At 45.3% G+C, this 15,463-nt stretch overlaps 1 pseudogene; it reads right to left on the reverse strand.

Annotated features, from left to right (window-relative positions):
* Nucleotides 7,195-13,909, reverse strand: CHEK2P7 (CHEK2 pseudogene 7; annotated as a pseudogene).

Consider the following 15,463-nt stretch of genomic DNA (forward strand, 5'->3'; position numbering starts at 1 on the left):
AGTGATCAAGAGAGAAGATCTCTTAAGTGGTTTTAATGGTTAAGGACCACAGGTTCTCAAGAAAGGGAAATCTCAATTCAAGTCCCGCCTCCATCTCTTGGAAACTGAGAAACCTTGAACAAGTCACTCAGAGGAGCCAAAGATCCTTGATTTCTACATGTGCAAAAGGGGAGTGTGGCAGTAGCACTGCACAGGGTTGACTGAGCTTTCAGGGAGATGATGACTGTACGATCATGCCTCTCTTAATCACGGGATGGTTCTGAGACATGCCTCCTTAGGTGACTGCAGCATTGTGCAAACAGCAAAGTGCATTTGCACAAACCTTGTATAGCCTTGTATAGCCTACTAAACACCTAGGCTGTATGGCCTATTGCTCCTAGGCTACACACCTGTACAGCCTGATACTTTACTGAATGTACCATAAGCAGTTGTAACGCAATGTAAGTACTTGTGTACCTGAACATAGAGAAGGTACAATAAGAATAGAGTATAAGAGAATTTAAAATGGTACTCCTGTATAGGGCACTTACCACGAAAGGAGCTTGCAGGACTGGAAGATGCTGTGGATGAGTCAATGAGTGTGAAGGCATAGGACCTTACTGTACACTACTGTAGACTTTATAAACACCATATGCTTAGGCTACACCAAAATTTTTTAAAGCTTTTCTTCAATAAATTCACCTTAGCTTACTGAAATGTATCTTAAAAATTTTGCCAGTCGTGGTGTCTCACGCCTGTAATCCCAGCACTTTGGGAGGCCGAGGCAGGCAGATCATTTGAGGTCAGGAGTTCAAGACCATCCTGGCCAACGTGGTGAAACCCTCATCTCTACTAAAAATACAAAACTTAGCCAGGCATGGTGGTGTGCACCTGCAATCCCAGCTACTCAGGAGACTGACGCAGGAGAATCGCTTGAACCTAGGAGGCGGAGGTTGCAGTGAGCCGAGATCGTGCCACTGCACTCCCGCCTGGGCAATTACATGCATGGAGATGTCCTCTCCTGTGATAACAATGCCTTCTTCTTCCAGAATACTTCCTGAAGGACCTGCCTGAGGCTGTTTTATAGTTAATTATTTTTTAATGTAAGTAGAAGACATACATTCTAAAATTATGAAAAACACTAAATACACCAGGGCTGGGCACAGTGTCTCATGTGGGTAATCCCAGCACTTCAGGTGGCTGAGGTGGGAAGATCATTTGAGGTCAGGAGTTTGAGACCAGCCTGGGCAGTGTGGTGAAACCCCATCTCTGCTAAAAATACAAAGATTAGCTGGCCGTGGTGGTGGGTGCCTGTATTCCCTGCTACTCAGGAGGCTGAGGCAGAAGAATCGCTTCAACCTGTGAGGCAGAAGTTGCAGTGAGCCAAGATTGCGCCACTGCACTCCAGCCTGTGCGACAGAGCAAGACTCTGTCTCAAAAACATAAAATAAACCAGTAACATAGTTGTTCATTATCAAGTATTATATATTGTATGTAATTGTACATGCTATGCTTTTATAGAACTGGCAGCACAGATTTGTTTACACCAGCATCACCAGAAACACAGAAATGCATTACCCTAACATTACAATGGCTATGTCACTAAGCAATAGGAATTTTTCAGCTCCATAATCGTCTTATGGTACCAGTGACTTACATGTGGTTTGTCATTGACTAAAATGTCATTATACAACACATGACTGCATATCCCAGGGCCCAATGCCTGGCACACACAAAGCTGAGTTTCACTGGTGTAATTCCCACCCTATCCATCCAAGAATCCTGAAAGTTTAATGAAAGGGGCTCTGCTCCCAAAACCCTGTGGTATAAGTAGCTGGGAGGAGTTCGCCCAACTTGGGGTTGCAAGGACTCTTTCTTCCCACCTCTTTGCTTTCCTTTCTCTCCCCCAAACTTCTCTGAAAACCCTAAAGTTGGCAGAAAAATGGAGAATGTTTTCCCTACTAACAAAAAGAATCTTCAAGAGTCTCTTGGGATTTGTAAATGGTTGCATTTACTAGTCTGGTTTTTTTTTGTTTTGTTTTTTTGTTTTTGTTTTTGTTTTTTTTGAGATGGAGTCTTGCTCTGTCACCTAGGCTGGAGTGCAGTGGCACGATCTCGGCTCACTGCAACCTCCGCCTCCCAGATGCAAGCAATTCTCTTGCCTCAGCCTCCTGAGTAGCTGGGATTAAAGGCACGCACCACCACGCCTGGCTAATTTTTTTGTATTTTTAGTAGAGACAGGATTTCACCATGTTGGTCAGGCTGATCTCAAACTCCTGACCTCATGATCCACCTGCCTTGGCCTTCCAAAGTACTGGGATTACAGGCGTGAGCCACTGCACCCAGCCTTCTAGTTTCGTATTTTTCTTATTCAAGTAACAAGGAAAAAATAAATAACTCCACCAAGAGGAAAACAGAAAAAAGGAACAAAACTGATAGCATGACTGAAAAGGCCTGGGGTGGTACCTCACTTCAGGCATAGCTGGATACAGGCACTTATACAAGATAAGTCTCTCTAATCTCTCTGTGCTTGCTTCCCTTTGATTACTTCATTCTCATGCAATTCTTTCCACATAGTGGCCTGAGCAGCTCCTAACTCACATCTGCGCAAGAAAGCAGAGGCTGTTCCCCAATAGTCCCAGCCAAAGTCCCAGGACTGACTTTCACTGGACCCGTTTGGGCCACATGCCCTGCCTGAGCCAATCACCACATCCAGCCTGGCCAGACCTGGCTTTCATGAAGCCCCTTCAGGAAGCAGTTGGGGTCATCCCCTCCAGAAGGACATGGGGAAAACCAGAAAGTGGGAGGAGGGATGCTTCCTTCTGAAAAATAGGGATGCAATTACCACAAGAGGTATCAGACACAGGGCTGGCACAAACAAGAGCTATCCACGGCACCATCATGTAGGCATGCAGCTGGTCCACCATGAAGCAACCTGGCTGCTCCGCAAAATGGAATCACAGTTAATTCAGCCAATGAGAAATATCCCTCTACTTGGGTTCCCACCATTCACCCCAGGCCTGGCACGTCCCACATTTCCTTGGTCAAAGGCAAGCAAATTACCCGCCTTTTATGCTGCACAAAAAGCTGAAAAGATTATCTTACTTCTCTGGCTCAAGAACTTTCTATGACTCCCTCTGGCTACTTATGTGGCTCCCCCACCCTTAATGATAGAAGCCAACATTCATGAATCCCCTACCACATGCCAGGTACCTTATGACCTGCCTCCTCCAAACAGCATAGAAGAGGTTGGTACTCTTACCGCACCCATTTTATTAATATGGAAACAAAGGCTCAGCAATTTGAGGTAATTTACCAAGAGCCAAAGTTAGGAAGTGCAGAGTTCAGATTAGCACAATATTGTTCCCGCCATTGCCATCCCAGCTCCATTTGTTCATGTTTCAAAGTCCTACACCCACCTCTAGCTAGGGGCCAGTGGGAACAGCTCCATGGCAGAAGAAGCCTCTAGGAACCCCTTCAGCTTCTGCAGTGGTGGGGCTGGGGAGTAGGTGCAAAAGATACTTAGCTTTACCATCCTCTCCCATAACATTTTTTTTTTTTTTTGAGATGGAGTCTCACTCTGTCACACAAGCTGGAGTGCAGTGGTGCGATCTCAGCTCACTGCAACCTCTGCCTCCTAGGTTCAAGCAATTCTCATGCCACAGCCTCTGGAGTAGCTGGGATTACAGGTGCCCACCACCACACCTGGCTAATTTTTGTATTTTTAGTAAAGATGGGGTTTCACTATGTTGTCCAGGCTAGTCTCAAACTCCAGACCTCAAGTGATCCACCCGCCTCAGCCTCCCAAAGTGCTGGGATTGCTAAGCCACCATGCCTGGCCCCATCTCCCATAACTTAATGGGGTAGGGAAAAGAATTCCTCCAAGATAAAATTAAAGTGACGTTAGGAAAGGAAGTAGATGTTTGGTAACCTTCAATCAGCAGCTGATTTCTCCCATTGGTGAGTCAGTTAGTTTTCTATGGCCGCTGTAACAAATTACCACGAACTGATTGGCTTACAACAACACAGACTTAATATCTTATTGTTCTATAGTTCAGAAGCCTCAAATCAGTTTCACTTGGCTAAAGTCAAGTTGTAAAGGACTGATTCCTTCAGGAGGTTCTGAAGGGAAAACCCGTTTTCTTGCCTTTTTCTGCTTTTAGTGGTTACCTATATTCCCTGGATTGTGGCCCTTTCCTCCATTTTTAAAGCGTATCACTCCAATCTCTGCACAGTGCTATGGTTTGAATGTGTCCCCCAAAGTTCATGTGTTGGAAATTTAATCCCCAATGCAACACTGTTGAGAGGTGGGACCTTTAAGAGGAGATTAGGTCATGAAAGATCTTCCCTCATTAATAGAGTAATAATGTTATCTCAGCAGAGGGTTAATTATCATGGGGATGGGTTCCTAATAAAAGTATTGAGTTCAGCCCCCTTTCTCTCTTGATGTGATACCTTCCATCATGGGATGACACAGCAAGAAGACCCTCACCAGAAGCAGGCCCCTTGATCTTGACCTTCCCAGCCTCCAGAACTCTAAGAAATAAACCTGTTCTTTATAAATTACCCAGCCTCAGATATTGCATAGCAATACAAAAAAGACTAAGACACTCAGTCACCATCGCATTGCCATCTCCCCTGACTGCTGAGTCCCTCTTAAAAGAGCACTGTAGGCTGGATGTGGTGGCTCACGCCTATAATCCCAGCACTTTGGGATGCCAAGGTGGGCAGATCACGAGGTCAGGAGTTCGAGACTAGCCTGGCCAACATGGTGAAACCCCATCTCTACTGGAAAAACAAAAATTAGCTGGACATGTTGGCGAGCACCTGTAATCCAGCTGCTCGGAAGGCTGAGGCAAGAGAATCGCTTGAACCTTGGGAGGTGGAGTTGCAGTGATCCGAGATTGCATCATTGCACTCCAGCCTGGGCACCAAGAGCAAAAAACTCCATCTCAAAAAAAAAAAAAAAAAGCACTGTGATGGGACACTGGGCCCACAGGCAACATAGGATAAGTTCCCATCTCAAGATGCTTAATCACATCTGCAAAGTCCCTTTTGTCATGGAAAGGAACATAGTCACAGATTCCGGGGATTAAGTTGAGGACACTTTGGAGGGGCCATTATTCAGCCTGCCATGGAAGATATCATGAGAGGGAGTTAATACAAAATGCTCTGGAAACAGAGAAGGGCGGCCGGGCATGGTAGCTCATGCCTCTAATCCCAGTACTTTGGGAGGGAGGTGGGTGGATTGCCTGAGGTCAGGGGTTCAAGACCAGTCTGACCAACATGGTGAAAACCCATCTCTACTAAAAATACAAAAATTAGCTGGGCATGGTGGCAGGTGGCTGTAATCCCAGCTACTCAGGAGGCTGAGTCAGGAGAATCGCTTGAACCCAGGAGGCGTAGGTTGCAGTGAGCTGAGATTGCACCATTGCACTCCAGCCTGGGTGACAAGCATAAGATGATTGTCACCTTCATCTCGATTAAAAAAAGAAAAAAGAAAAAAGCAACAGAGAAAAGCTGGCTAACTCTCCACAGTGGGAAAAATGTCCCAGGAAACCACAGCCTCCACATTAAATATTCAAATGAGCTAAAACCCATCTAATTGGCAATCTCAGTCTTATTCCTTTAAACATGCAAACCACCTAAATTCCCAACAAACCCCCTACACCTGGCCAGCCAAGTCTCAGAATGCTTATATACCCTTTAATAGAAATTTTCAACCACCATCCCCATTTCCTAAGGAAATGGCTGTGTGCCCTCGAGCCTGCCTTGACTGAATCACCAGTGGCCTTTGAACCACGGCACTCAATTCATGGCATGGCCAGTGAGCTACAAAGTGTCCTAGCATCGACCAAGCAAAGTTATAAAAGCAGATTCAGTGGACAATAAGGAACATTAGCTTTAGAGTCAAAAAGACCTGGGTTGGGTCCCAGCTCTGCCATTTACCAGCTGCGCGACATCAGAAAAGTTACCTTCATCCTCCAACTTTGGTTTCCTCACCTGTGACATGACAGTGGCTAGAGGACCTCATAGAATCACTGTGAGGACAAGAGCAGCCAAGGGTAAGTCTTTGCACAGGGCCTCCCCGGTCATTATTGGGTCATCAAGACATAACCGTGCCTTATCTCCACTTCAAAAACCCAAACAGCTCTCAAAAATGAGTCATTGTAGCTCATTTGGAAGAAAAGACTGATATGAATCAATATGCAACTACCTATAATCTTTCTCTATCCCTCTTACTGTGAATATTTGCTGTGGAAATATTAACATGTTTGGTCTCCACTGGGGTAGGACTCCACATGTGTAGGACTCCACTGGGGTGCTACACATACACATAGTAGATATGCCTTACCACCTTCCGAAAATTGGGTAATTAAATTTCACAACTTATCTAGCCCAAAGGTTTCAGAGACTGTAGACCTGTATCTTTATGAGGGCAAGGATGAGAATATAACCTGGCCTGTTATTATGCACCAAGGTACCTGCTGTTCTCATGAAGATGTCAGCAGCCAGCCAGCCAGTCTCTACAAACTCCACCCCCAACCTCGCTATGCTCCTTTCCCTGGAACTTTCCAAGGGGCCCTTAGAATTTGCATTCAGCTCTCACAGGCTGAGACCAGGGTGACATCCTGGGAAACCTGCCTAGTGATAGCCAAGGTGTAGCTCCAGATGAAAGGCACACAACAACTTTAAATATAAAAAAACCATTCAGGCTAGGCATAGTGGCTCACGTGTGTAATCCCAGCACTTTAAGAGACCGAGGCAGGCGGATCACCTGAGGTCAGAAGTTCAAGACCAGGCTGGCCAACGTGGCAAAACCCTGTCTCTACAAAAAAATATAAAAATTAGCTTGGCATGGTGGCGCATACCTGTAATCCCAGCTACTCAGGAGGCTGAGGCACGAGAATCGCTTGAACCTGGGAAGCAGAGGTTGCAGTGAGCCAAGCTTGCACCACTACACTTCAGGCTGGGCAACAGAGTGAGACTCCGTCTCAAATAAATAAATAATAAAGCCATTCAACTAAAGAACCGATTATCAAGCAGAAGCACAAAGCCCAGGTTCCATCAGGTTTTTTATTGTACATCAGTGACTGTGAAAAAACAATTATTTCCATAATTAATATACAAACTATAAAAAAACAGACTCAAAGAAAAGAAAGATGACAGAGTGAAAGAAGGTACATTTCTTTCATGTTCAAACCACGGAGTTCACAACACAGCAGCACACACAGCCAGGCGCTTTGTGGTCTCGGCACCCTCGGCTTCCCCTTCACGAGGCCGCTTTTGACTAGTAGAAGGCTGAAAATAAAGGAAAATGGAGAAATATTCAAAAGAAAATCACTGGCTTCTTTAAGATTATCAAAGTTCCTCAATGTACTTCCAGTAAAGTGGGGGCATTTGATGTGAAATTCTAGTACCAAAAATTACTGGTTTTCATCATTGACAACTGAGTCCTCATCACAGCCCACAACTCAGACATGCTTATCTAATGGATATTTCTCTCCCTTATGGCTTCTGACCTCTGAATGATGTATACTGAAAGCAAGTAGCATAACCAACTTCCTCTTGATCATCCTCTTCTAAATATCAAGTTTAAAAGGACTACAATACCTCTCAGTTGAAGCCCCAAGTCTTGGTCTTTTGCGGGAAGACAACCTTTGTGCCTTAGTTGTTTTCCCATATACAAAATTGGGAGGAAGGCTGGGTGTGGTGACTCACACCTGTAATCCAAGCACTTTGGGAAGCCGAGGTGGGTAGGTCACTTCAGGTCAAAAGTTCGAGACAAGCCTGACCAACATGGCAAAACCCCATCTCACCTAAAAATACAAAAATTAACTGGGCACAGTGGCAGACACCTGTAGTCCCAGACACTCAGGAGACTGAGGCAGGAGAACTGCTTGAACCCAGGAGGCAGAGGTTGCAGTGAGCTGAGATTGCACCACTGCACTCTGGCCTGAGTGACAGACTAAGAGTCTGTCTCAAGAAAATAAAAATCGGGGGGGGGAGAAAACAGTGGGAAAAAGGACAGCTACCATTCAACAACAACAACAACAACAAAAAAGCAGGACTGGAATTAACTTATACTCACAAAGAACTTTAAAGAACAAAATTGTAATCAAGGAATCAACTACTGACCCAAATTTTAATTTTCCAACAAATTTATATTTGAGCCTCTAATAGAGTCTTTTGAAATTGCCTTGCAGGTGACCTTTTGGATGACAATCCCTAGCTGTGCTTATCTGTCTATTATGTGTTAGATATTAAACATATCCTGCAATTTTAAATCTAAGGGTGCTGGAGTGAATCAAGTTCAAACAGAGTTTCTACTACATTATAACTGAAACAATGTTAAGCAATTGCTACTCAGGAAAATCTTGAATTTCATCATCTTTGCTAATCAGCTCCTTAAGCCCAGACTATATTTAGTGATCATCAGGAATACGAATACCTGGGCTAGAACCTGAGATAGAGCTGTGGATTCATTTTCCTCAGACAGAAGATCTTGAAACTTTCTCTTCATGTCTTCATTCTGTGAGGGAATTAAAAACATAAGTAGCTGTGTCTGAAGGATAATAAACTCCTAGAATGACAGGGCTAGCATGCCCCTGTGGAAAGAGGGAGGAAAAGATGTCCTTCCAAGAATCATCCCCTTGATGAAGCTCCCACAGCGAAGGCATTATGTGTTGCCCCCCTCTACCTTCCCAGAGGAGTCCAATTAGCAGTCAATGCTCCATCAATCCTGGCTGACTCACATCCACATGCCTAAAAGCTCTCAGTGGGTCAATCACAGCCTCCAGCAGTCAAGAGTTTCTGAATTAACATCCCAGATCCTGAGAAAGGTGACAATCAGGGGGCCAGGGGCTGGGCCTGACTCCGTGCAGCTCCTCAAATCCTTCCGGGACCACTCTCCACCTGCTGCCCCTGCCATGAATGAGGCCAGTCACCCAGGCTGTCCTAACAACCAGCCCAGCACCCTAGGAAAATTCACCCAGCAGATGCCATACAAATTTTCAGAAGTACTTAAGGCCACAATATCCCAGAGCTCAGGTCTAATGAGAAAGGGAGACAATAAACATAACAAAGCATTACAGCTGTTTCATGCTGCAGGAGCGGGAGATGAGGAGGGCACAGACAGTGTGTATACGAGTAGCTCCCACCTCTCTGGATGCTTACTTCTGCAGGGTTCAAGGATTTGCATTAGGAAACCCTGAGAGGTGGTCTGGTGCAGCTCTCCCCATCTTCAGCAAGGTGAAAGGAACATCTATAAATAGGAATGTGGCCTTTGAGTGTTGGCCAGAAGCCCAGCTCAGCCACTCACAGGTGGCATGTGTGGAATACAGACCCAGAGTTATCTGATTCCAATGCCTCATGTACTTTCCCACCCAACTCCAGCCCCTCCTCCCACTGAGCCAAGCATACCACAGTGGGGAAAGGGAGAGGATACAGCAAAGTCCTCCACCATTTGGCAATTTGATGGATATGGAACTTTTACAACACTAGGTTGGGCATGGTGGCTCATGCCTATAATCCCAGCACTTTGGGAGGACAAAGTGGGAGAATTGCTTGAGGCCAGGAATTTGAGACCAGCCTGGGCAATATAGTGGGACTTTGTCACTACAAAAAAAAAAAATTAAAAATTAGGCCAGGCACGGAGGCTCACGCCTGTAATCCCAGCACTTTGGGAGGCCAAGGCGGGCAAATCACCTGAGGTCAGAAGTTTGAGATCAGCCTGGCTAACATGGTGAAACCCCGTCTCTACTAAAAATACAAAATTAGCCAGGTGTGGTAGTGCATGCCTGTAATCCCAGCTACTCAGGAGGCTGAGGCAGGAGAACCACTTGAATTCGAGAGGCGGAGGTTGCAGTAAGACAGGATCACACCACTGCACTCCAGCCTGGACAAAAGACTACGACTCTGTCTCAAAAAAAAAAAAAAATTAAATTAGCCAGACATGGTGGCATGCACCTGTAGTCTCAGCTACTTGGGAGGCTGGGGCAGGAGGATCACTTGAGCCTGAAAGTCATGGTGCAGTGATCATGCCGCTGCACTCCAGCCTAGGTGAGACAGCAAGACCCTGAGGAAGGAAGAAAGGAAAGAAGCAAGGAATTTAAAAGGGGGGGGATGAAAGAGGGGAGGGGGAAGGAAGGAGGAAGAAAGAAAGAAGGAAAGAAGGACCAGGCACAGTGGCTCACGCCTGTAATCCCAGCACTTTGGGAGGCCAAGGCGGGCAAATCACCTGAGGTCAGAAGTTTGAGATCAGCCTGGCTAACATGGTGAAACCCCGTCTCTACTAAAAATACAAAATTAGCCAGGTGTGGTAGTGCATGCCTGTAATCCCAGCTACTCAGGAGGCTGAGGCAGGAGAATCACTTGAATTCGAGAGGCGGAGGTTGCAGTAAGACAGGATCACACCACTGCACTCCAGCCTGGGCAAAAGACTACGACTCTGCCTCAAAAAAAAAAAAAAAAAAAAATTTAAATTAGCCAGACACGGTGGCATGCACCTGTAGTCTCAGCTACCTGGGAGGCTGGGGCAGGAGGATCACTTGAGCCTGAAAGTCATGGTGCAGTGATCATGCCACTGCACTCCAGCCTAGGTGAGAGAGCAAGACCCTGAGGAAGGAAGGAAGGAAAGAAGCAAGGAAGGAAAAAGGGAGGGGGGATGAAAGAGGGGAGGGGAAAGGAATGGAGGAGAGGGGAGGGGGAAGGAAAGAGGAAGAAAGAAAGAAGGAAAGGAGGACCAGGCACAGTGGTTCACACCTGTAATCCCAGCACTTTGGGAGGCCAAGGCAGGGCAGATCACTTGAGGTCACTCTGTTTTGAGTTACTCAGTGTAGCTCCCCATTGCCATTTGACAGCAGCAAGCTCATCTGGATTCCTCTCCGCACCCTCTCACAGCCTTACTTAGGATCTCAATTATCTTGCAGTGTCACTCTCAAAAGTCCATCTCTTGGAAGCCCTTCAGTGAAGCCAAACAGAGTGGTCACAAGCCTAATCAGGCCTATATTTAAAACAAGTAATCAGGACAGGCGCAGTGGCTCATGCCTGGAATCCCAGCACTTTGGGAGGCCAAGGTGGGTGGATCACCTGAGGTCAGGAGTTTGAGACTAGTCTGACCAACATGGTGAAACCCCATCTCTACTAAAAATACAAAAATGGGCTGGGCATTGTGGCAGGCACCTGTAATCCCAGCCACTTGGGAGTCTGATGCAGGAGAATCACTTGAACCCAGAGGTGGAGGTTGCAGTGAGTTGAGATCACACCATTGCACTCCAGCCTGGTAGGCAAAAGCGAGACTCCATCTCAAAAAAGGCAATAAATAAATAAACATTGATTTTCTTCATGATGTCTACAATTATTCCAAAATATTAAATTAGCCAGGAACAGTGGCTCGTGCCTATTATCCAAGCACTTTATGAGGCTGAGGCGGGAGGATCCCTTAAGGCCAGGAGGTCGAGGCTGCCGTGAGCTATAATTGCACCAGTGCACTCCAGTTTGGGCAACAGAAGAAGACCTTGTCTCCAACAATAAATAAAATAAAAATTAAATTATAATATCCCTTGAAAGCAAACAGAAGTAATCCTCTATTTCAGGCAGTAAATACGAGGCAGACAGTAGATGTAAGGGATGCTCCCAAAACTGGGCACTCTGTTAATGACAAAACAGAGACCAGAATCCACATTCCCAACACTCAGTCCAGCGCCAGACCCACAAAACCATTTGGTTTTTGTGAAAACACTGAATTTTCCCAAAATAAAACCCAAACTATCACTAACAGATGTTTTAGATGGTCAGTCTTCATCCTCGTCTTCATTCAATGCTCATTCCTCCTTTTACTGCAAAAACAAAAGGTGGCTAGAAGAGTATTCCAGGGAGATCCTGCAACAGAGATGAACTACACCTTCTCCTTGGTTGTTAATAAGTTTTCTTTGAGATGAAGAAGTACAAGAAAAATGGGCTGTGCTTGCTCATAAATTTCAGGCAGATGCAAACCCTGTTCCCAGGCTCAACAGGCCAGCTCTGTTTTTTTTGCTGGAGATGAACACAGCTCCTGTACCTCTACATTTAGACCCAAGAGTTTCCCTATTAGGACACATGAAAAGAGCCAAAAGACATGTTTCTCTTTTTCATCAAAATTAAAATCCCCACATGCAAAGGCACCCTTTGTTTCCAAACCCCTTTCCTCCAGGGTCCCACTGTTTCAAATCTGTGTGGTCTATTAAATGCTAAATCATCTGACAGATTTCTTCTGGGGAGACTATAGTTTCCAGCGCAACATCCAAAACACATATATCTGTCTTTTTTTTTTTTTTTAAGTTTTTCTTGTTCTCAACCTGAGCTGGCCTGAGCAAAACTGTTAGGTGTAGAGTATTAGAACAGAGAATGGGGACAGTCTTCCCAGAGTCCCAGAAGTACGGGGCTGAGGCTGGATTGCCCAAGGAGTTCCTGGACCAGTAATCCCCAGAGAAACAGCATTTAGCTCAAGTAACAGCCTTTAGCTCAAGCTACGAGTTCTGTCCCCCATCTCCACAGAAAACGGATTGATACAGTTTGGCTTTATGTCCCTACCCAAATCTCATCTCAAATTGTATTATCCTGGTGGTGAGAAAGGGAACTGTTGAGAGGTGATTGTCTCATGGGGGCAGTTCCCCCCAGGCTATTCTCATGATAGTGAGTTCTCATGAGATCTGACAGTTTCATAAAAGGCTCTTCGCCCTTCACTTCCTTCACAAGCTCTCTCACCTGCTGCCATTAAGACACGCCTTCTTCCCCTTCCACCATGATTGTAAGTTTCCTGAGGCCTCCCCAGCCATGTGGAGCTGTGAGTCAATTAAACCTCCTTTCTTTATAAATTACCCAGTCTTGGGCAGTTCTTTATAGCAGTGTGAGAACAGACTAATACACAGACCAAAAGAAAATTAATAGAAAGGGGCATGGCTGTGTTGAATGGAACTGCTCATTACAGAAGACCAGACATCTATCAGAACACCTGCCCAATGCCGTAGCTAATTCCAAAACTAAAGATTAATCCAGCAAAGCCAAAACGTACTTCCAACTCTTGGCAGTTCCAAATGAGGTCAGCATTTAATAATGGCAGCCCCAACCCCTAGCAGGAGCAGAGCAGTAACACAGATGAAAAGTGCAGGTGACGGCCTTCACTAAGGACACATTTACTCACCTGAATGAACAAGCAGTGGGACCCTTTATACCCAGTCACTTGGGCTCAAGAAATAGCTGGATTCTCCCCATGGAGGCTGCCCTCCTCCCCCTCCCCCACTTCCCCGATTTAAGGTTGAAGATGGTTGGAATGCACCGCACCTATGAAGACCAGTGGACATGGCTGGGGTTAGAGCCAGAACAAGCCCTCAAAAGAACACAGGCCATACTGGAGACTTGGGACAGCCAAGTGGAACCAGAACAGGACATAAAGTGAGCTTGTACATCCAACAGCCATGAGTAACATCGAAAAGGTTGTAGCCTAGCCAACACGGCGAAACCCCATCTCTACAAAAAATACAAAAAGTAGTTGGGCTTGGTAGCATGCACCTTTAATCCCAGCTGCTTGGGAGGCTGAGGCAGGAGAATCACTTGAACCCAGGGGGCAGAGGTTGCAGTGAGCTGAGATCATGCCACTGCACTCCAGCCAGGGTGACAGAATGAGAACCTGTCTGAAAAAAGAAAAAAAAAAGACAGGTTGTAACCCATCCTCCAAGATACCCCCCATACATCTAAAACAATTAGATTAAACAGACTAAACATGTTTCTGTCCTCTGTCTCATGTCTCTCAGGCAGCAGGGCTTCCCATGTATTTTATGCTAGCAGGCACTGTCCCACACCCTCCTGAAGCCACGGTGTCTTAAGGCTTCTTCTGTCATAAAACGTGCCTTTGGATCCACTACCAACAACTTCTTGACAAGGTCCAGAGCTAAAGCAACAATTGGGCAAATCACAGTGAAAAGTATAAATATATTATCAGTAATAGTATGCCAGAATTAACAGGTCACCATCCAGAAAGAGCAGAGAGGGTCTGAGATCATCAGGGAGTCAGCAGACAGGGCCCCCTAATCTTCCTCATTCTCTGTATTCAGAGTACTGTGAGAAGGCCAGGAATGATAATGACACTCCCTGTCTCCTGCTGCTGGGACATCATTCACGACCTCTTCACCGCCTGTTCCCTCTCCTGTTGCTAGACTCAAGGTCAAACTAATTAAAGCTAAACTTCTACCCAATTCTAAGATACTTGGGATGCACAGCAAACTCTCCCTGACAGATGGATGGGTGAGAGTTACTCAGCCAGGGAGAGGCTCCCTGGAACTGCAGACTTGTCAGAAATAAAACTTGACTACTCCAGCAAGCAACAAATGCACGCTGGCCTGTAAATTACAACATAATTATTCCTTAAATATTCTGACATTTAACACAATCACCTATGTTATGTTATTTAACATTCAAGACCTAGAATATTATATAGGCTAGTGAATATTATCCTTCATCTCTGGAGTATGAAAAGGAGCGTAACTGGTGAAATTGCTGGTTTTTTGTTATCTGACTAAGTGTATTAACCAAATCCAGTGAACGTTTCTGTCTGCATCGTATTCAAGATCTTTGCAGCTTTTGACGCCAATGATCACTCTCTTATTGAAACACTTGTCTTTTTTTTTTCTAATTCTGAGGCACTACTTACTGGTTTTCTTCTTCCCTCACTGCTTCTTCCTTTCTTGTCTTCCATATTCCATTCTTCTTTTCCTAACTTCTAAATATGAAATATCACTCAGGACTTAGACCTGAGCCTTTTCCTCTTTTCCTTTTATATAGTTTGTCTATGTGGTCTCTTCAATATCCAAGATATCATATTTATGCATGCAACATTCTAATTCAAACATTATCTGGCCAGGCACAGTAGTTCACGCCTGTAATCCCAGCACTTTGGGGGCTGAGGCGGGCAGATCACCTGAGGTTGGGTGTTTAAACCAGCCTGGCCAACATGGTGAAACCCCATCTCTACTAAAAAATACAAAATTAACCAGACATCATGACATGCACCTGTAGTCCCAGCTACTCAAGAGGCTTAGGCAGGAGAATCGCTTGAACCCAGGAGGCAGAGGTCGCAGTGAGCCAAGATTGTGCCACTGCACTCCAGCCTCAAAATATAAATATATATATATATATAAAATCATTATAGATATAGTTGAAGCTTCCTATGTACTATTTTCCAACCTCATTCCTCTCCTTTTCCTGGAGGTACCAGCTATGCAGATAAAAGCAGAAATTAATGTCAGTAGCAGTGTGTTCATCATGTGTCTATGCCTTCATGACAAAGGAAGTTTAAAAACTTGTGTTCCTGGCTTCTGCATTGGGAAAGTAGTATTAATAATGTTAGAAATTCTCCAAACATGGGGTGACTTATTAAAACCTGCTCAGGCCAGGTGCCATGACTGATGCCTGTAATCCCAACACTTCGGGGCACCAAGGTGGAAGA

This window comes from Homo sapiens, chromosome 16 (assembly GCF_000001405.40).
Source record: "Homo sapiens chromosome 16, GRCh38.p14 Primary Assembly".
NCBI classification, from domain to species: Eukaryota; Metazoa; Chordata; class Mammalia; order Primates; family Hominidae; genus Homo; species Homo sapiens.